A 20909-nucleotide genomic window follows, 5' to 3' on the forward strand; every position below is an offset into this window, starting at 1 on the left:
GACTAGAGCCAGTTGGAGTTGGGTGTTTCCCTTCTCCCACGTGGAAGGCTAGAGTTGGCTGGAGTTGGTTATATCCCTTCCCGCAGGTCAGTTAGGCTCTGATAAGACCCTAGCTTGTTAGGCTCTGGTTAAATAGTTTCTCTTGAGGGCAGACCTTGTTAAGAAGAACATAATGCTCTAGAGTATTTTAAATGTTTACTTTTTTCCTTCCCCTGATGGAAACATAAGGGGATTTTTCTCCACTCTTGACTGTGAGAAACTGGTCCAGCTCTTGGAGGTAAAACTCATAAAAGTTTGGGTCCTTCTGGAGTTCTTTACTCTCAGACTTGTCTACACTGAGTCTCTAGCAATTTGTCACATACAGTTCAGGATTTCTAGTATTGGTTCCCATGGTAGAGGTTTCTGCTTATAGGTATCTGCTCCAATAGGTTGACATTTCTGTATCTGCCTGTCTGACTCCCCAGTTTTGAGGGCAGCACTTTGCTCTTTCACCTCACTTCTCTTATGGATCTAAGAGTTTGATTTTTCAGTTTGTCCAGCTTTGTATTTGTTGTTAGCTTGAAAGTTGTCACTCCAACCTCCTTACATCTTCTGCAATAAGGCTACAGAATGAAGTAACACAAGGCTCCTTCCTGCTGGGAGTTTCCTGTTGTGTAAAGAACCCAAAGAAGTAAACCATGATTACCCTGCAGTACAATATTGACCATGGCCAGTGTGTGGAAAACCAGTTGCCTCTGTCGGTACCAGAGCCTGATTCTGTAGGTTCAAATCCTTGTTGTACCACTTAATGTCTTTGTGGTCTTGGTCATGTGATTTAACCTGTCTAAGCCGTGGTTTCCTCCTCTGTAAAATGAGGATATTCATAGTTCCAGTTTCCTTGTGGGGATTACATGAGTTATCAAATGTAATGTGCTTAGCTCAATGCTTCATGAATCATCACTACTTGAAAAACCGTGATGGTGTTGTTGTTGTTATCAGTATACTCACGGTGTTAGGGAGAAAGAGAAGGGTACACCTAACTCTGAAGTTTTATAGAGGAGGTGATGTCTGAGAAGTGTTTTGAAGAATGAGTAGGAGTTTACCAGGAAGGTAAGGAAGAGAGTGTTCTGGGCAGAGGAAATGTTGCTGTGATTGTCATACTCATGGAAAGCAGACTGACATGTTTGGGAGCTATAGTCTAATCGGATTCAACATTGAATGAATATCTCTTCTGTGCCAGGCATGCTTCTAGATACTCAGATACAGTGGGGGAAACAGGCCTGGTGTCTGCTGACACTGCACTTAGATTTTAGTGAAGAGACAGTCAATGAACCAAGAAGCATAAGATACTTAAAATTTTAGGTAGTGATACATACTGTTTGCATAAATTTCCCTGGAAGCCCATTTTAATAAAATAGGGAGGTGGAGAGCTTATCAAGTAAAAGAACTCCCTAAACATTCTCTTGTCCAAAGGGAAGGGTGTGTGTGGTAGAGGATAGCAGTTGCAGTGAAAGAGCAGTGACGGGTGATGAAATCAGGGAGGAAGGAAGGCATCTCCCATAGGCATGAAGAAGCTTTCATAGGCAAAGATGTTGTCACTCTTAACTGTAGGTCAGTGATCCCCAAGCTTCTGTCTTTCATACATTTTTACCATATTTGCAGAAATTAAAATCTTCCCATTCAATTATTTATTTAAAGTTTCTATTTAAATTCACCTTTTAGCATTTAGAAAATAAATGCATGTATTTTCAGAAGGAAGCATTGTAGTATAGCTGTAAATGGAAGACCAGGCTTACCTGCCATGAAAGTAGCAATTGGAAAAATTAAAATTAAAAATGTTTATCTGTGCACTACCCAAAACCATCTTGAGTGGCACCTTTGGTGCACTCCTTGCATGCTTGGTCAATGATGAGGTGCTGGGGAGTCACAGAAAATGTTCAATAGAGAAGCAACGTGACTTTTGTTAGCCAATGGAGTCAGGGTGGAGAGGAGTTAGCAAGACATCAGGGATGCTGTCGCAGGTCGTGCCCCCAACTAAGGAAGTGTCAGGAGACAAAGCAAGACAGACAGATACAAAACATGCCTTGAGGTAGAATGGGATGGGGTGGAGGGGATGATGGAGAGGAACGAACCAAAGAAAATATCCAGATTTTTGGCTTTGGTATGAAGAAGCAAGTGTTTTCGTTTCTGTGTCATTTGAACTGTCTAAGGCAACATTACTGGCACCTGGGCTGATGAACAAACTTTGGAAGTTAAAGGGTGTTAGACCTAGAGCCGTGGGCTTCCATTCCAGGAGTGAGCCAAATATATTCATCCTGGGATAGGGCCCTCCCACTTCCTCTTCCTAAATGAATTATTTATATTCCAAAGGGCCTTAAGACATTGGGGAGCAAAGGGTTCTCTGTCTCTTTCTCTCTCAGGATGGGAGAGGTCCATAAGCTGTCATGTATAAGCTCCTAGATTCATAATTTTGGGGTTCTTCTCCTGCCATACAGATCCTGTCCATGAAGGGTGACAGCTGGTTCTCAGTGGGTCCCTGTAGGACACGGGGCACGGGAAATCAGCACAGTTACTGCTGTGAGTAGTCAGTTTGAGCTCTGCTCTAGGAACCCAAGTTTGCACTCAGGATAAAAATGAGTAACTATAGATATTAAAAACTTTTCAGGTAGCAAGTGACAGACCTCCCAACCTCTATAGATACAGAACTTCAGAGGTTTAAAAGCAATTTCCCGTGATGACCTCATTTGACCTTCTCGAAAGTTCAGAGCCAGCTGGGCAGACATGGGGCTCTTTTCAGATGGGGAACTTGAGGCTGAGAGGGGAAGGGATTTGCTAAAGGTTAGGCTGCTTGTACATAACAGAGCTGGCTTCTTCTAAGTCAGTGGTCCTCCATGGGGCTGATTCTGCCCTCCAGGGCACATCTGGCAATGTCTAGGGACATTTTTGGTTGTCACAGCTTTGGAGAGGATGTCATAGGCATTCAGGGAATGAAGGTCAGGGATGCTGCCGAACACCCTGCAGTGCATGGGATGGCCCCACAACAAATGTCCACTTTGCCAAGGTCGAGAGACAGTTCCAGAGACTTCCTGCCCCAGTCTTGTGCCTTTCTGTTACAGGGCAGCAGCCTCTCCTTTCTGCAACATCCACTTGGTCTTGATGAAAAATGAAACCAACCTGCCAATCATGTCTTACCGAAGTTACCTGCGGTGATGAATATAATAATTTTGAACTTTTCTTTAGCATATAAATAATCCCTGCCTTTATTATAATATTCTGCAGGATAATGTCTAACTCAGTCCTAACCAAGAGCATTATATTTGTATGTGTTTTCTTCAGGAGGCTATTATAATGAAATAAAAAGGCAGCAAAGCTCACTGGGAAAACAGCAGGCTGGGGCTGCCCTTGCGTTGGAAAGTGCTTAGGGGAGGGAAGGTTCATTCTTCTCTCACCAGCCTCCCACTGCCCTTCCCAGGGGACTCTCTGATGTGGAAAGCCCTAGAGTTCTCCAGCATTCTTCCCCGGGGCATCATGGCTCTGGCCATTCCTGTGATCCTGTCCTTCCATGCACAGCTCTTGGCAGGCCTCTTGACTTAGCCACGTGATCCCAACTGGGTGAAGGTGGATGTCCTTTGGCCCACACTTGTGGCTGCCAGGATATAGGTTTGGTGCAGAGATTTAATTTTTGGAGAGCTGAGAACTCGAAACTGGTGGATGGACATGGCTTCTTGGATGGCTGGCTTATCAAGAGCAGCTGGCCATTTATGATTTGTTAAGGGCTTTTGCTCTCTCCTGGCCTCAGCTTCTCTCTGGATCTTATCACAAACCTGTTATAGTTTCATTTGATTTGTTTCTTCGTTTATTTTTTTCCTCCCTTTTTGGTTATTGTTATTTTCCTGGGGTTTTGAGGATCAGACTGAGCAGGGTGAGGGAGCCAAGTTACCGCTTGGAAACCTCAGAGACAGCGAGATCAGATTTCAGGTCTAAGGTGAATTTGCTGTGGCCCAGAATATTCACTCTCTTTGTCTAGCAGCTCAATTCCCTAATTGCCCTAATTGCAGTGAGCTTCTTTTTATCTGCAGGTCAACAGGGATACCTCAGTGATGCATTTGACTTCTTAGGAGGTAAGATCAGCCCCCCACCCATCCCTTATTCTGAAGAGGAGGATGTTTTCCTTGAGTTCAAACCCTAGAGCCACATTCTACATCATAATTCCTTCTACACCATAATTCAACTCAATTCACAAAACAGGGATCCAGCTTCTGCTTTGAAAGTTCCCATGCTTACCATTAAGGACAAAACCACAATGGGCAAATGTGGAATCTTGGTTCTGGATTCTCCCTGCCCTGGGATGAAGAAAGGCATGGCGGTTGGCTGGAGAGCGCTGAGCCTCCCAGTTGAAGAGTTAGGGCCCTGCCAGTGACTATCCCACCCTCCCCTGTCTGATCCTTGCTGTCCTCTCTGGCTCTCATCCCTCTTCAACATGTCTTTTCCATCCTGTGCCACCATCTGAACACCTTGGTCGAATGCATCAGGCTACTGTCTGAATCTGGGACTCTGCACACACAGCATCTTCTGCCCAAGACATGTTCTCTTCTCTGGTCATTGACGTGACTCTTACTCATCTGTCGGGTGGGTGTCTGTTAGGGACTCAGCTGATTGCGTGTCACAGAAGATCCAAATAGGAGAAACTTCAGCAAGATAGGGGTTGACTTTTTTCTCTCGCAAAAAGAAGTCTGAGGGTAGACAGTTGAGGATGGTGTGCAGACACCTGGTCCAAGGGCTTTGCAACATTCCTGACCTTTCCCCCGCCTTTCTGTGTTGCAAGATGTCCGCTGCGGCTCCAACCATCAAGTTTTGGACTCAGGCAGGAAGAAGAGGAAAGGTAGGGGGCAAACCCGCAAGGACCACAAGCGTCTTTTAAGGAGGTTACCTTGAGGTCCATCCACCTGGCCGCTGCTGCTTACCTCTCATCTGCCAGAACTGTGGCACAGCTCTGCAGGGAGAGCTGGGAAATGTAGTTTTTCCTTTTTCAGCTGAGCACATAGTCCTTTCTTCCTCCCATTACTCTAAATATGGTTCTGCAAAGTATATTCAGAGAAGTGGAGCTTCTCATGTCCCATTCATGGCATTTTGTAAAATAGATTTTTATGACTTTACTACCTTTTAAAAAATAAATGGAGCATATTGTACATCCTTTTCTCCATCTTGCTTGTCTTTGCCTCACAATATATCCAGAAGAGTTCTCCCAACATGGTTGTGTTATTTTACATCCCCACCAGCAATATGTGGGAGGTGTACTTGGCCCACATCTTAGCCAGTATTTACTGCTGTCATTTTTTTTTTTTTTTTTTTTTTGAGACAGACTCTCGCTCTGTCGCCCAGGCAGGCGTGCAGTGGCACAATCCTGGCTCACTACAACCTCTGCCTCCCGGGTTCCAGTGATTCTCCCGCTTCAGCCTCCCGAGTAGTTCGGATGATAGGCGTGCGCCCCCATGCCTGGCTAATTTTTGTATTTTTTAGTGGAGATGGGGTTTCATCATGTTGGTTAGGCTGGTGTCGAACTCATGGCCTCAAGTGATCCGCCTGCCTTGGCCTCCCAAAGTGCTGGGATTACAGGCATGAGCCTCCATGCCCAGCCAGTGCTGTCAATTTTTAAAATTGTATTCACTCTAGTGTCTATAAAATTGTATAACACTGTGGTTTTAATTTTTATTTTCCTGTAACCTAATGATGTTGAGCACATTTTGATGTACTTTTTGACCATTCATGTACTTCCTTTTGTGAAGGTTCTGTTCGAGACATTTACCTATTTTTATTGGGCTGTCTTTTTATTACAAATTCATAATAATCCCTTAATTGTTCCTGAATCAGACAGGTATAGTATAGACATTTTCTATGAGTCTATGACTTGCCTATTCATTTTCTTACTGATGTCTTTTGAAGGATTGATATTTTAAATTATGATTAAATGTATCAGTTTTTCTTTAAAAAAATGTGGTCTGTTAAAGAAGGAGCTGTATTCATTTCCCAGGGCATCCCTAACAAATGGCCACAAACTGGGAGGCTTAGAACAACGGAAATGGTTTCCTTTGCAGTTCTGGAGGCTGGAAGTCTGAAATCAAGGTGTAGGCAGGGCTGTGCTCCCTCTGAAGGCTGTGGGGAAGGGTCTGCTCCAGACCTGTCTCCCAGCTGCTGGAGGCTGCCAGCAACACCTGCTGCTCCTGTGCTTACGGCTGTGCCACTCCAATCTCTGCCTCCATTGGCACCTGACCCTCTCCCCTGTGTGTCTTGTATCTTCTCTTCTGATAAGGATGCAAATCATATTAGATTAGGGCCTCCCCTACTTCTATGTAACCTTAACTAATTACATCTGCAATAACCCTCTTTCCAAATAAGGTCACATTCTGAGGTTCCAGGAAGAACATGAATTTTGGAGGGGCACTATCCAACCAAACATAGATATCAAGGCGAATGGCTAGGAAATTAACTGTCTCTTTATAAGGTTTCAGCTTAGCTTGTGAGCACTGAAAGCATCCCCTCCTTCACAGCATAGTAGCTAAATGGTAGTTGCCTGCTTCCTTGTCTGAATTCCTCGTGTGTCAGAGGGCAGGGAACTCTTACTTTGTTCCTCTCCCTGACCCCTGACTTTAAGTAACAGAAATCCTTAAATTGGCTGAAATTGTAAGGGAATTTATCTTCTTGGCCAACAGGAAGTCCATAGGTGGGTCAGCTCCAGGCTTCGGAGTTAGGGCCTTAGCTTTGCTCATGCCCTCCAGGATGTGTTAGCTTCAACTTCGGTCAGGAAGCAAGATGGCAGCTTCCATTTCAGATAAGCATTTGTAGAGGGGATATTTCCCAGACTTCCCCAGCCATGTCAGGCTAGGTCACATGTCCTTTTGTCAACCAGTTGCTGGTAAGGCCTGGCTTGGACTAATTACTTAGGGGTCACCTGACGTTGGGGATTCAATCAACAAGACCCTTTCCCTGTATGAATGACTATATTCTTGTTGCACTGTTGAGCCTGGGACACTGCTGTGCCCATGGTGGCTTCTTGATTGTGTGGTGACCTTGAAGGCTCCAAAGGCCCTGCTCAAAGCCCTAGAGGCATTTTGCAGGATCATGCGAACCAATGGAAACACGTTTTCCTTTGGCTTGGGCCAGCATCTCCTCATGACCACAGCTCCATGCCAGTACTCCTGGAGGTCAGTTGAGGGGACAACTTGATGTTCTTTCTTGGCAGGAACCAACTTTCTTTCTTGGAAAGTTACATGTTCCTGAGCTGGAGCTTCACAACTGCTCTGAGGTCAGGGTTGTGGGTGAACAGGCTCCACTGGGCTCTGAGTGAGTGTGGCTTGGCCTGGAATTAAGTCAGGGACAGACATCTGCCCCCATTAACTCAGGATTTTGGCTTTGACTGGTTAGCCGAGGAAGGGGTGTGGAGGACTGGAGATGACCAGTGATTTTTGCAAGCCAAGAAACTGCAGGACAAGGTCAGTCTTTATTTAGACCTATTTCTGCAGGAATAAAGAAGGTGGTGATGGTGTTTCTACTTCTAAAATAAGAGCAGAGTGAGTAAATTCTCTTTGGGGAACACTTAGCCATTGACCTATTACTTCCCTACCTGAACCTTTTCAGCCAGCTGAGGGGGGTGAGATGTTGATCCCAATTGCATGTCAGGGGTGTCTGCCTTTCCCTTGCTTAGAACAGCCCCCTTATTCATCTGGGCCCTCCTCGTTTTGTGATGAAAGATTCAAAAATTAGGAAAAAAAATGATGCTGGAAATTATAGCTAAATGTACAAAGCACTTACTATGTGGTCAAGGCTATATGTGGGATATCTCATTTACTCTTGACAGAAAATACTAGCACGAAGTAGATAGTCCTATAATTCCCCATTTTACAGTTGCTGTACTCAAAGATGAGAAAGGTAACGTCACCTGCTCAGAACCCTATAGCTGGGACATGGTGGGGTCAGGATTTGAACTCAGGTCTTACTGATTCTAAAGTCTGAGCTGTTGCCTCCCAAAAGCCAGCTGCCATTCTTTTGTCACCTCTCTAATTTCTCCAAATAGTGAATTTTCATGGGAAAATGGGAATAGTTCTTCCCACTGGCATCCTTTAGTTCAACCATAGCTAAGTAATAAAAATGTGCATTTTTCTCATAAGACACAACAACTCTTAATGTATTATGTGTAAGAGAGAAAGGTAGGAAATGACCAAATGTCCATCAATAGTGGACAAGCTGAGTAAACTATGGTAAATCCAAACAGTAGGGTACTATACAGTTGTAAAAAAAAGTGATGAATATCTTCATATATTTATATGGAGTAGCTTCCAGTGTATATCGTTAATTGGGAAAAAACCTGGTGTAGGATAGCATTAATAGTAGTCTCCTTTTGTGTAACGAGGGGAGAACATATATATATTCTATTCTCTATGTAAGAATATGTTTTATTCTTTTAAATATATATTAGAATACATTTTAAATATATACTTAATATATAAATATATATTTATAAATATTTAATATATTTAAATAAATAATATTTAAAACATTAAATATATTTTAAATACATTAATATATTACAATATATTTTAAAATATGAATGTATATAAAGAATTTTTATAAAAGAATGAAAAGATAAACCAAAAAATTACTTAACATGGATACCTAGATGGGGGGAGGAAATTGGGTGAAGGAGGCAGACATGAAAGAGACATGTGAGAAGGTACCTCATTTTATAGAATTGGCTTTGGAGCCCTGTACATATTTCACATAGTTAAACATGAAAATTAAAAAATAGCAACACTTAAAAATTGAAAACAAATTGTAATAAGTGAATCTAGGTGAATGTTAAAATGGTGCTCAATTGCACACACAAAAAATTATTTCAAATGACTTTTAAACACAGTATTTGAACTGTTTATCCCTGGGAGAATAATCCTTAAGACCAAGGGAACTGTAAAAAAAAATCTTAACTAGTATTCAAAAGCCTTATTTTAAGTAATAATATTGGCATTGCTGTTTTGAAACTATTATATGATAATGTAGGTTAAAGTAAGTGGAAATTATGTTAATAACTTTAGGAACCAAATTTTCAGTATAAAAGTAAATATATGTACATATAAAATCCAAAGATGTTCAATAAAGCCCTAAAATCTTAAAATTTAAATAAAATGTATCAGTATAAATTCATGAGTTACCTTTCCCTTTCTAAAACAACAACAACAAAAGCCCCTTACATATTTCTTTTTTTTTTTTTTTTTAACTTGTCACTGATGAAGCTCAGACAATCCTTTACGTATTTTTTAACTCTGTCCATGGAAAAGTCCTGGAAATGACTAACCCAGTAGTGTTTAGCAATCACATGTCCAGATTATGGTCTCTAAATATCATTTTCCACAAAATGAACCAGAGTTCCTTAGAGAAATAGCCAGTTCCAGGTCTGGAGCAGGACCTATGCAAGTTGGACATGTGAATTTTTGTTCTGCCAGAAAGCAAGAAAGCTATAAAAGATTAATGGAATCATGTCAAAAGGAAGTAGGAGCTAACACCATGGGCTTCCACTGGCAAAGAGGGGTCAACTTGAACAATAAAAAAGAATAATGATTGCAATTGTTTGAAGCAAATCAATTATTGCCAAAGTGATAATGAGAAAACAACTCTTTGGTTGCTCCTGAACATTGATAAGGCACTAACTTATTCTGAAAATTTATAAGCAAAGAAATAAGCTTTTATACTGCCTTATTGTGCCAACTGTATTTTGTGGTAAAAAGGTGATGAGGGAAAGTTCTTTGTAAAATAAATGAAGGAGGCCGGGTGTGGTGGCTCACAGCTGTAATCCCAGCACTTTGGGAGGCTGAGGTGAGCTGATCACTTGAGTCCAGGAGTTCTAGACCAGTCTGGGCAATATGGCAAAACCCTGTCTCTACAAAAAATACAAAAAGGAGCTGGGTGTGGTGGCATGCACCTGTAGTCCCAGCTACTCAGGAGGCTGACGTGGGAGGATCACCTGAGGCCAGGAGGTTGAGGCTGCAGTGGGCTGTGATTGCACCACTGCACTTCAGCCTGGTTTGGAGTGAGACCAGCCTGGCTGGAGTGAAACAGAGTGAGACCCTGTTTCAAAAAACAAGAGGAAGAAGAAGGAATAGTAGAATTATCACTGTTTGCTATCCCTAATGAAATAACACATCTAGGCAACAATCCTGGATGCTGCTGAAACCATTAGCTACAAAGCCAGTGGAGAGAATGGGGAGATCTAAGGGGGATGAACCAGGCTAACAGCACTTAAACCCACTTATCAATCTTAGCATCATTAGAAGTGAGGTATTCCAACATTACGCACCTCCTGATGGGATACAATAGTAAGTACGCAGCACCGCGTATATTCTTAAAGAAACTTGAACTTGAATCTAGCTTGAATCTCTCTAGTGCTTACTACCAGTCTTCAGAAATGTGGGGAATAGGAGAACAAGTGAAATGGCACTACAAGGAAGCAACCAGCTAAATTCAGAATGTGAAACTTGCTACAGGAGAAATGACCTAAGGTGGGGAAGGAGAGTCTCTAGATTAAAAAAAAAAAATGTAAGAGACATATTCAATCAACTGCAATATGTGTACCATGTCTGTATCTTGATTTGAGGAAATTAACTGTAAAAAGAAACTTTTGAGACACTTAGAAAAATGTTTCTTTTCCTGGATGTTAGAAGATATTCTTGCTAATTTTGTTAGGTGTGATAGAAGCATTGTGGTTATGTAAAAAGTATCTTCAATTGATAGAGATGTAATCTAACAGTAATGATGGTTAAAATAATACACTATCTGGTTGAGGCTTTCGGGCTTGGATGGCTGGGTGGTGCAGCCTAGTGTCCACCTGCAGCTGCCTTCTGTGTCAGTCCTCTGCCCCGCCAAGGCTGTAGAGCTTGTCCATGCGGGTAGCAGGATGCTCCAAGGAGCTGCGCACTGGCCACACCATGGTCCACCTCACTACTCCCCTCTGCAAGGCCTATTACAGGGGCCACTTAACGATCTGCCTTGCCCTGGGTGGCTGCACCAACCAGCCCTTCTACCGCATTGTGGCTGCTCACAGGTGTCCCAGGGATGGCCGTTTTGTAGAGCAGCTGGGCTCCTATGATCCATTGCCCAACAGTCATAGAGAAAAACTTGCTGTCCTCAAACTGGACTGGATCCATCATTGGATTGGCTGTGGGGCCCACCTCTCTAAGCCTATGGAAAAGCTAGTGGGTCTTGCTGGGTTTTTCCCTGTGCATCCTATGATGATCAGAAGTGCCGTGAGACTATGAAGGAAATGGGCACCTGAAGTCCTCTTAGCTTCTCAGAAAACAGATGCAGAGGCTACAGATACAGAGGCTACAGGAACACAAGTGAGCTGACTTCAGTGAGCATAGCAGTGAGAACAGGGTCAAGGTCCTCTTAAAATACTGTGCAGAGATCTTAATTTTGTTAGATTCAGAGGTCAATAAATGGAGTGTCCTGAGTCACCCTTGCTCTTCTGGCCTGGCCCGCACAGGGCCCAGGGAGAGATTTGTTCTTGTGTGACACAAGGCAGGGGCTAGGTATTAATTAGATTTTTGGACTTTGTCTTGGGAAAGACAGTGGCTACGGGAGGATTGGACTTTTGAGTTGGGCTCTGGGTCTCTTGGACACTTTACAATCTGCTGGGGTTTCCAATATTTACTGCTTCAAAGCCCCCAGCCAGACTGTTCATGTTCATATCTTCCATATCTTCATGTTCATCCCACAAGCGCAAGAACAGTTACCTTTCTTATTGATTTTGTAATTGGAGATTTATATTGTCTTGCTTAACACATATGATCAAATATACAAAAGGTAGATTTGTTGTGAAAATTGCTTTTTGGTTGTAATAACCTACCTTTTAAGAATGAGAAAGTGCTGGGCTTAAGGGAATTCAGAATGAATCAAGACTGAACCATTCAAATGTGGCTGCATTTTCTGCATGTATCATAGATGGGATCCTTCTGAGAATACTGGAATAGGGAATTATGACACCAAGCTAATTCAGCTGTGAACCTTATTCTTGTACTTTTCTTTCTTGCTGGTAATTTTATGGAGCAGGTAGAGAAAGCTGCTGTATGTTAGGATAAACTGTATACCAATAATTTTGATGACCTATGGTGAGTGATACATTTTACTTCTTGTATCTTTTCCTTCCTCCCTTGATGCCAGTAATTTATAAGGGGTCTGTATAGTTCGAATGTATTTGAATAACTTCAGTATACTTTAGCTCTACTTTTTGATTTGACTCAAAGAACCATCCATTGGTCTCAAGTATTCCATGTGTTTTAAAAGCCTGAAGTCAGTGAGATAAAATTCAACATCAAGAATTTGAAGTAAAGTAACTTGAAAGAATGTAAAGAAAACATACGGACAGTGGCTTATGCCTTTAATCTCAGCACTTTGGAAGGCTGAGGAAGAAGGATTGCTGGAAGCCAGAGTTCAAGACCAGCCTGGGCAACCAGCAAGACCCCACTTCTACAAAATATTTTAAAAAATTAGCTGAGCATGGTGGTGCTTGCCTGTAGTTCCAGGTACTCAGGGGGCTGAGGCAGTAAGAACACTTGAGCCCAGGAGGCCTGGGTGACAGAGTAAGACCCTGTCTCAAAAAAAAAAAAAAAAGAAAAGAAAAAAGAAAAAAAAAGAGAAAACATTAGGTAGTATTAGGTATTTGGCTAGAGCATAATAATTAATTTGATTTCCTGGTTTTCAAAAATTTGAATTGCAATAAAAGGATATTTCAATGTGCTAAAAAGTAATAATAATACACTGTCTTGGATTTGCTATAAAACAATCCAGAAAAGAGTGGGTAGATAAATGAGGTGGCAAAATACTAAAACAATCACTGAAGCTGGGTGGTAGGTACATGGGGATTTGTTCTATTGTTTTCTCAACTTTGGTATATGTGTGATCATTTGCATAATAGGTCTTATTATTAAATTTTATTTTATTATTAAGATAAACTAAAATAGTGTTTTATAATTAGACAATTTGTGGCTCATTTTAATAATTCCTTGATTGCAGGTTTTGATGCACAAAAATGTTTGGTTTACTTTGCTCTAAGACTTGGCCCAGATCTCACCACCTCCCTGAAATGAAGGGCCTTCCCTGACTGCCCTCCTCAGAAAGAATCTCCTTGCTCTGAAGTTCCAGGAAGATCCTGGTCCTTGTGTCATTCTAGTATGTATCCAGTATAGCCTGGTACCATCAGCTGGCTTTTTGTGCCCTAAGGTCAGGACTTTGAAATCCAGCAGTCCTGGGTTTGACGCCCGAGTCCGCTGCTTATTGCTTGTGTGACGTTAGAGACATTCTTTAGCCTTGGTTGTTTCTCTGCAGATGGACATGGGATAGTGGTTGTTGTCAAGGACAATGAGTAGTAGGTGTCATCTCTTCCTCTAAAATGTCAGGGTTGGTGTTGCAGGTTGCATTGTGCCTCATAACTTCATATGTTCAAGCCCTAACCCCCAGTACCTTAGAATGTGCCCTTATTTGGAAATGAGACCACTGCACATGTGCTAAGTTAAGATTATCCTGGAGTAGGGTGGGCTGTGATCCATATGACTGGTGTCCATCCATGTACGGGGGGAAATTTGGACCCAGTTAGGTATACAGGGAAAATCTCATGTGAACAGGAAGGCGGCTGTCCATAAGCCACGGAGTGAGGCTTGGCATGAATCCTCCCCTCACAGTCCTCAGAAGGAACTGACCCTGCCAATGCCCTGATTTTGGAGGCCTTGGTCTGGAGGCCTATGAGATGATGCGTTTCTACTGTTTCAGCTGCCCAGTTTGTGGAACTTTGTTATGGCAGACCTAGAAAACTCACAGAGATGGGGTCCCTGTCTTTGTGTTCCCTTCAGCACCTGCTCAGTGCCTTCTTCTCATCCCAAAGGGAGGCCACAGCCGTTGTTCAGGATGTTGATGTCACTGATGACAAGGAAGAGCTTCAGAACTGGGCTGTGAGCCCCCATTGCTGCGCTCCTGTCTGGGGTTCTCAGCTTGGCCACTCCTTTTTTGTCTGTCAGTATTACTCATGCATTAGGGTCAGCTCCCTCTCGCCCCTCACTCCATGTGTTCACGTACACACAGACACCATGCATGCACTCATACACAGGTACACATACCACACATGTACTCTCACACATGTACACACACACCATGCATGTACTGTCATATATGTACACATATACACACCATGCATGTACTCTCACACACACATACAGTCTCACCATGCATGTACTCACACATGTACACAGTCTTTATGCATGTACTCTCACATACACATACACACCATACATGTACTCTCACACACATACACAGTCTCACCACATATGTACTTTCGTACACATGTAAACATACACAACATATATGTACTCTCACACACATGCACACAGACTCACCAAACATGTACTCTTACACACACGTACACATACACACCATACATGTACTCATAGCCTCACCACACGTATACTGTCACACACATGTAAACACACACCATGCGTGTACTCATGTACATCTGCAGACCATACATGTACTCTCACACATACACATCATACATGCATGTGCACACACAGGTACAATGCATGCCATGCATGTACTCACATACATGTACACACATGCATACCATACATGTACTCATGTACACACATACATATGTACACACATACACATGATTTTGTTTCTACTGCTCTAGAGCAACAATCTTGAACTATTTGCTAGAATGCTCCTGACCTAGTAAAATCTCAGGAAAGGCCGACAAGTCCTTACAAGTTATAGAGAAATGATGTATTAACCTATTGGCCTAAACAAAATTCTGTGAGCCCAGTTGTACAAATGTCTGGAAGGTTAGGTCTGTGTGAGTTAATTCTGAGAAAAAAATGAATTCCTGGATTGTAGAAATTGATGTTACAGAGCTTGGGGCTGGTTGGGAGTGGAAGTCCCAGGAATGTCATCTCCGGGGGCTCCAGATGGTTCCATTTCTCCAAGGGCCCTGACCCTGTGTCATTGCTGTGTTCAGCCACCAAGGGGTGACTTTGACTTGGCAGAGTTCTTTGTGGTGGCTTTGGCAGCAGTGGTTCTAACAAATTCAGCCTGATGGTTTGAGGGAGCTCCAGTTCCTGGGTCCATTCTAACTTCCTAACTTTGCAAATTCCTGGAGTGGCCTAACTAACTAAAGGAACCACTCCTAACTACAAATGAGACCTCAAGAACAGGAAGGGGTGCAGAAACCCAGCTCCAGGGTAATGGTGAGCAGGTCAGCACAGGGGTCTTCAATGCCTGTGTACGTGGTTTTTGGCCAGTGGCCACAATCTCATCCCTGAAAGTTTTGGGAGACCAGTTTATGTTACCTTGAAGAACTAGGGATTTCTTGTAACTATGGAAACATAAATCTCGGGATTAAAGAGTCAGAGAGAAAACTGCTATTGTTGCCTTGACAACCCATAAAACCCCAAGTCTTTGTGGTTAGGAGTAGAGATAATGTACCTTCAATCTTTTAAGCTAATTTACTTGTGGGAAGAAGTGGAAGTGGGCTTGGGCACCCTGTGGAAGCAGATGCTGCCCTGACTGGGTGTGTGTGTGTGGGTCTTCCCAGGCCCACCCTGCCGAGTGGCAGGTTTCAAATTCTGCCTAATAAATGGCCAAGATGTCCTGGAGAGTCTGTACCAAAGGACTGGCTCTCATGTTCCAAGGAGGCCCTTGTTTCTTGACTCTGTGGGTCTGTAAATGGAATGACTTCCATTCCTGTATTGCAGAAGTTATGTTTTGAGCTGTTTTTGGAGGGGATGTGGCTACCTGAAGGGAGCCGAAATCTTTTGTTACTGGGACAGATACTCAAAAGCTCTTTCCCTCTCCAAGTTCCTGCCCCTCACTTTTTGTAAGAAAGGCTGGGAATTTAAGGTGTGCAGCTTCAGATGAAACTAAGGGTTCTGAATGCATGGCACAGCTTCTGCACCTGAGGCACTGTCACCCTTGAACCTGCTGATAAATGCCCATAAGCACTCAGAGCTCGGGGCCACATTTAGGTTTCATTTCTATGTTCCATCAAGAGATTATTTTTTCTTCCTTAATATCCTCAGCGGATATTGTGCCTCAACGTGGCACAAAAATTTCTGAGTTGATGTCCAGATGAAATTTGCATGGAGAGTGTCCTCATGGCAACTCTGGGGAACCAGCGAGAGGCTTCCTGTTCCAACTAGAGAACAATGACATCGCGTCTTCTTGAGGCTGAATTGCCAACTCTCTTTGTTGGGGAAGATAGCAGTGATAGATGAAAGGAAAATTGGAGGAAAGGCTTTTTCAAAATCATTACATTGCCAAGTGTGGGATTTTGGATCCCTATTCAGTGGAGAGAACATTGAGTAAAATGAGAAAACAGCACACACAGAAATGCCTGTGATGTGGCTGATGAGAGGAGCAGGTGGAGCAGTTCCTACCCACCCTACCACTATCCTGGCCCTGTCTCCACAAGAGGTACCTTTCAATAGTTATCCAAATGTATTACATTCGGATGACGTGTTCAGACACCTGAAGAAGTTAACCAAATGGCCACTCCTCTTTGATGTGCTGAGGGTTGGTCTTCTAGCCCGACCCTAGCTTTCTCCCCATGATCTGAGAAAATGGCTTCCCCCTCTCAGGGATACTTCAGGAAAGCTCAGTGTGGAGAATTCGGGATTACACAAATTTATCAATCCAAGGACTCGTCATTAAAACACTGAAGGAGGCTTTTAGGGGAGATTTCACTGATTCAGCAGTTATTGGCTGCAACCTGCTCTGTTGGAAACACAGTGTTGGGGATGTGGCCAGGGACAACGCCGGTCCCCATCCTGGGGGAGCTTCAGCTTGGAAAGTAAATATCTTGACTGTGCTACAACCGTGATTTAATTCCCAAATGTGGACATTTCACGAATGTGTTATAAGATGTGAAGTGTACCTTTATCACAGAACAAACAAGAAGAAGCCAACGAAGCCCGTGGGGCTACAGAGCTTTAAACTAGATTAAAAGCAATTATTTACTGAAATAGCCAATAACACACTCCCTGACCTACAAGGTGTCCGAGCCTCCTTTTCTTTTATCGGTTCAATTTCTTCATATTAAATGTGGACAAACACGGAGCATTGTCATGGAAAATCAGCACACTGGTGAATTAGAAAATGATCTGAAAGCACTAAAAGTGCAGGCGATGAATCCATTTTGACATGTTGCTTTCCTGTTGACTTTCCAGCCATTGAATTTGCTGCTGATCTGAAGTATATTTCATAAAAAGCTGCTTCACTAATAATGATCAGACAAGGATTTCTCTTATTAAGTCTTGGATAACAAGGGAAGCTGTGTACGGGTTATTCTGGGTGATTTCTAACTGCTGTTTTTCACACATGAATGAGATTACATACATAAATTAATCATCACTGCCCCTGATGCATTTTGCAAGTTACCTTAAAAACTCATTTTAAAAAAGCATGCAGAAAGTCTCATCCATCATCCCCATCTGTTGCTTTTTCCCTCCATGGCCTGGCATGGCTTCACACTGTGATATTCTTTTTTTGCTTCTGTTTAAAACAACCACCTTTAAAAAATAAGTTTTCAAACTAGGGATTAGGGAATTGATTACGTGGTGACATGGTGCTCCTTACATTTCAAGAAGTGGGAGGAAAGCGGGAATTTTAAAGCGGATGAATCACCGGGGGATTAGAGGGAGCCACAGCACCTAGAGATGTAAGCGTTCGTAGTGGATTGCATGGCTTGTTCTGAAACACTTATGCTTCTGCTCTTTGAAGGCCAAATGGTGGAGAATAACTTACTTAGCTGATGCACGGAGAGCAAAAAGAGGGATGATGGGTGACAGGGTGCAGATCGGTAAAGGAGCAGACGGGTCCTCCTCTGACAAGTGGGTCAACCTTCTCCTTGCTTCTGAGGGAAATGCTAGGGAGGAGATACCTCAGGCTCTGGCTCAGTCCTTCCTGGGTCTTTTCCTGCTGGAGCCAAGTGCATATAGAATGGTTTTCAAGTTCCCAAGTGGAAATGTCATGTTGTCCAAGAAGCTGTTATGCACAAGACATTTCTTTTTCACAGTCATCCATTCCCTAGTTTGTTTTCCAAGAGCCCAGTAGATACTGGATAAAATTGTAGATGCTGGGGTCTCTGTGAGGGACCAAGACATCCTATGAATGAAGTGGTATTTGGAACAATATTGCTGCTGATCAGAGGGTCCAAGGGAGATGTAGGTGCCGACGTCACTGAGATCCTGATCTGGCCACGTTTGAACGAACTATTTAAGCCCGACCTCACTTCCTCAAGTTCCTAAATTCCTCTTGACAACAAACAAGCCAGTCTGGGTTGAGTTTCTGTCACTACCAAAAAGATCTTGGCTAACAGGAAGTGAACTTTGGTTAAGTGAGAGCAGCTCCTGGCATGTGGTTAGGACACATTTGAGGGTCATTGTGGTTTTTACTGTCACTGTGGTAATTCCCCAGGGGCGGTGACCCTCCACCTTTCACCATTCCGGAGCACAGCCTCCTTCACCAGCCTCAGGAAAGAAGCAGGCTCCTGCAGCAAAGTGGAAAGCTGCTCCTGCTTTCCTGGTCTAGGATCAGGACAGCTGAAAGTTCCAGGTTTTGTTTTTAGAAATAGTTTTGATCAAATCCTGAAATTTTCCAGGAGTTCACAGTTGGAAGAGGTTTCACCTGATAAGAAATCACTCCATTCCTCATGCTAAAGAAGTGACTGCTGATGCACTGTGGATTTTTGCTTCTCGGCGAGTGGTGGCTGGGGGAGGACTACAGAGTCATCTGTTGTTTTTGGATGTCTAGCACTCAGTGTCCCTTTTTCTGGTGACAGCATCTCTCTTTTCCCCTGGGGACCCATGGTATTCTCAATCTGTGAGGTTCAGGTGGACTGACCAACATGCATAGACGGAAGCTGTGCTACAGCTCACACCTGCGTCATCCCGAGGAGGAAGAGCACTTTCCAGAGGGAGCAGGGAGAGGTTTGAGAATTCTGAGGGTTCCATGTCATCTCTGCTAAGATTGCTTATTGGCTGTTGAGGCTCCATTCACATGTATGTAGTGCCTGAATATTTCCACAACAAATGTGGAAGGATGATGTGATAGATTGTTTGTAAAAATGGCCACGATTCTCCATCCCTCCTCTCTCATTCTCTTTGCAATGTGACCTTTCTGCCATCCTCCCCACCCCCATCAAGAAGTGAGGTCCACTTCTTTACCCCTTGAATCTAGCCTGGCTTGGGGCTTGCTTTGGCCAATGGAATATGGTGGAAGAGATGCTGAGCTTGTCCCAAGCCCAGGCCTCAAGCGCCCTTGTGGCTTCTGTCTGCTCACACTCTCCCTCCCTTGTCCCTGCCTCAGCAGCCTACTGCCTCTGTGTGGAAAAGCCTGGTATAGCTTAGTGAAGAATGGGGACCATGTGGAGGAGAGCCCGATTGTCCTGGATGAGTCCCTCCTGATCCAGCCTACAGCCAGATGCCCCCCAAACACGTGATGGAGCTCAGTCAGGTGAGCATGAGCAAGCCCAGCTGAGACCAGAAGAACCACCCAGCTGACCTCTACAGCAATGATAAATACTTTTCAGATTAAGCCACTAACTTCTGGGGTTATTTGTTACACAGCAAAAGCTAACTGTTACAGACGTCATCAGTTAGGCTTATTAGGTACTAAATTGGTAGCTGTGGTAAAAAATTGTCTAAACATAATTTAACTCCACACATCCCAGGAAGCTTTGGAAGGTCACTGACTTTGAAAGCGCAAGGTATTCTTGTTGCCATGGATACCCCCATTGAGACATTAGAGTGCAAAGAGAGAAACCTAGTGTTGCCTTGACAACAGGTTTGCAAATCCGAGTCTGGTAAAGCAAAAGACTACAAAGAACAGGAAGAATCAGGAGGAGGGGGAAATTAGCCTAAAGAAGCTTCCCTTCTCCCAGCAAAACAACAACTTGCCTCCATGCAGTTTGAGAGTCTGTTAGAAGAAGCACTGCCTGAATGGGGAGCTATAAAGTGAACAACAGGAAGCCCTTCTCTTTTCATGGCCCATCTCCACAGCAGGAGAAAAGTCTCACAGCCAGGGAGCAGCATGCGGCACTGTCACTAAGTGCCTCCTTCAAGAGTTCACAATTTGCTCTCAGCCAAGCTTCATTCCAAGAATGAGAGTTTGCTCAAGCTGGAAGGGGTCTGAACAGCATCGAGTCCCTTACTCATCCTCTCCATCAGCTGGGAGGGAAGCTGAGGTCCTGAGAGGGAAGAGGGCTGCTCGCAGTCAGTCTAATGTGCCATTAGGATTTTAGTCTAGTCTAGTGGGTAAGCATTCAGGGCCCGGAGTCAGACAGACCTGAGTACAAGTCCTAGTGACACCATTTACTAGCTGTGTGACATTCTGCAAACCAGCTGACCTCGTAAACTCTTTCTGTAAGATGAGGATCTCACTAATGTCAGCCTCAGAGGGTGGTGAGAACTCAGTGAACTAATGCATGAGAAGCACTTACACAGTGTCTAACCTGCAATGAGCTTGCAATAAATTGCGTGTTATTCTTTCTACTATGATCATGTCACTCTGCCTCTACTCTTCAGACTCATTGAAGTAGTACCAAGGAGGCTCAACTGGATCCAGAATCTCCCTCGGGAGGCTTGGTGGTCCATTTTCAGATGCCCTGTGTCATTTTCTGTATCATACAATTGGATGTCACAGTTTCTAATTTTCAAAGCCATTGCATTTTCTATTTCCTCTTCCCTACAGCTTGGCTGGGCAGGCAGGTGGGGCAACACTAGCTTCATTTTTTTTTTTTTCACTTTGTCAGGGAGGAAATTGAACCCCGGGGAGGTTTGACGATCTGCCCAAAGTCCCTGGGAAGTTTCCGGCCGTTCTAGGGCTAAAGCTCAGCTCTCTCG

General features: G+C 43.5%; 1 pseudogene, besides 2 other annotated features; it reads left to right on the forward strand.

Moving 5' to 3' along the window:
• Positions 3792-4293: an enhancer, noted in NCBI's record as "NANOG hESC enhancer chr20:57681118-57681619 (GRCh37/hg19 assembly coordinates)". NCBI's record gives its function as "activates a minimal SCP1, AML or CMV promoter by ChIP-STARR-seq in primed H9 embryonic stem cells {active_cell/tissue: H9 hESC(primed)}" and the evidence as "EXISTENCE:reporter gene assay evidence [ECO:0000049][PMID:30033119]".
• On the forward strand, positions 10804-11661 carry MRPS16P2 (mitochondrial ribosomal protein S16 pseudogene 2; annotated as a pseudogene).
• Positions 19756-20305: an enhancer, noted in NCBI's record as "OCT4-NANOG hESC enhancer chr20:57697082-57697631 (GRCh37/hg19 assembly coordinates)". NCBI's record gives its function as "activates a minimal SCP1, AML or CMV promoter by ChIP-STARR-seq in naive H9 embryonic stem cells {active_cell/tissue: H9 hESC(naive)}" and the evidence as "EXISTENCE:reporter gene assay evidence [ECO:0000049][PMID:30033119]".

Source organism: Homo sapiens, chromosome 20 (genome assembly GCF_000001405.40).
Source record: "Homo sapiens chromosome 20, GRCh38.p14 Primary Assembly".
Classification (NCBI taxonomy): domain Eukaryota; kingdom Metazoa; phylum Chordata; class Mammalia; order Primates; family Hominidae; genus Homo; species Homo sapiens.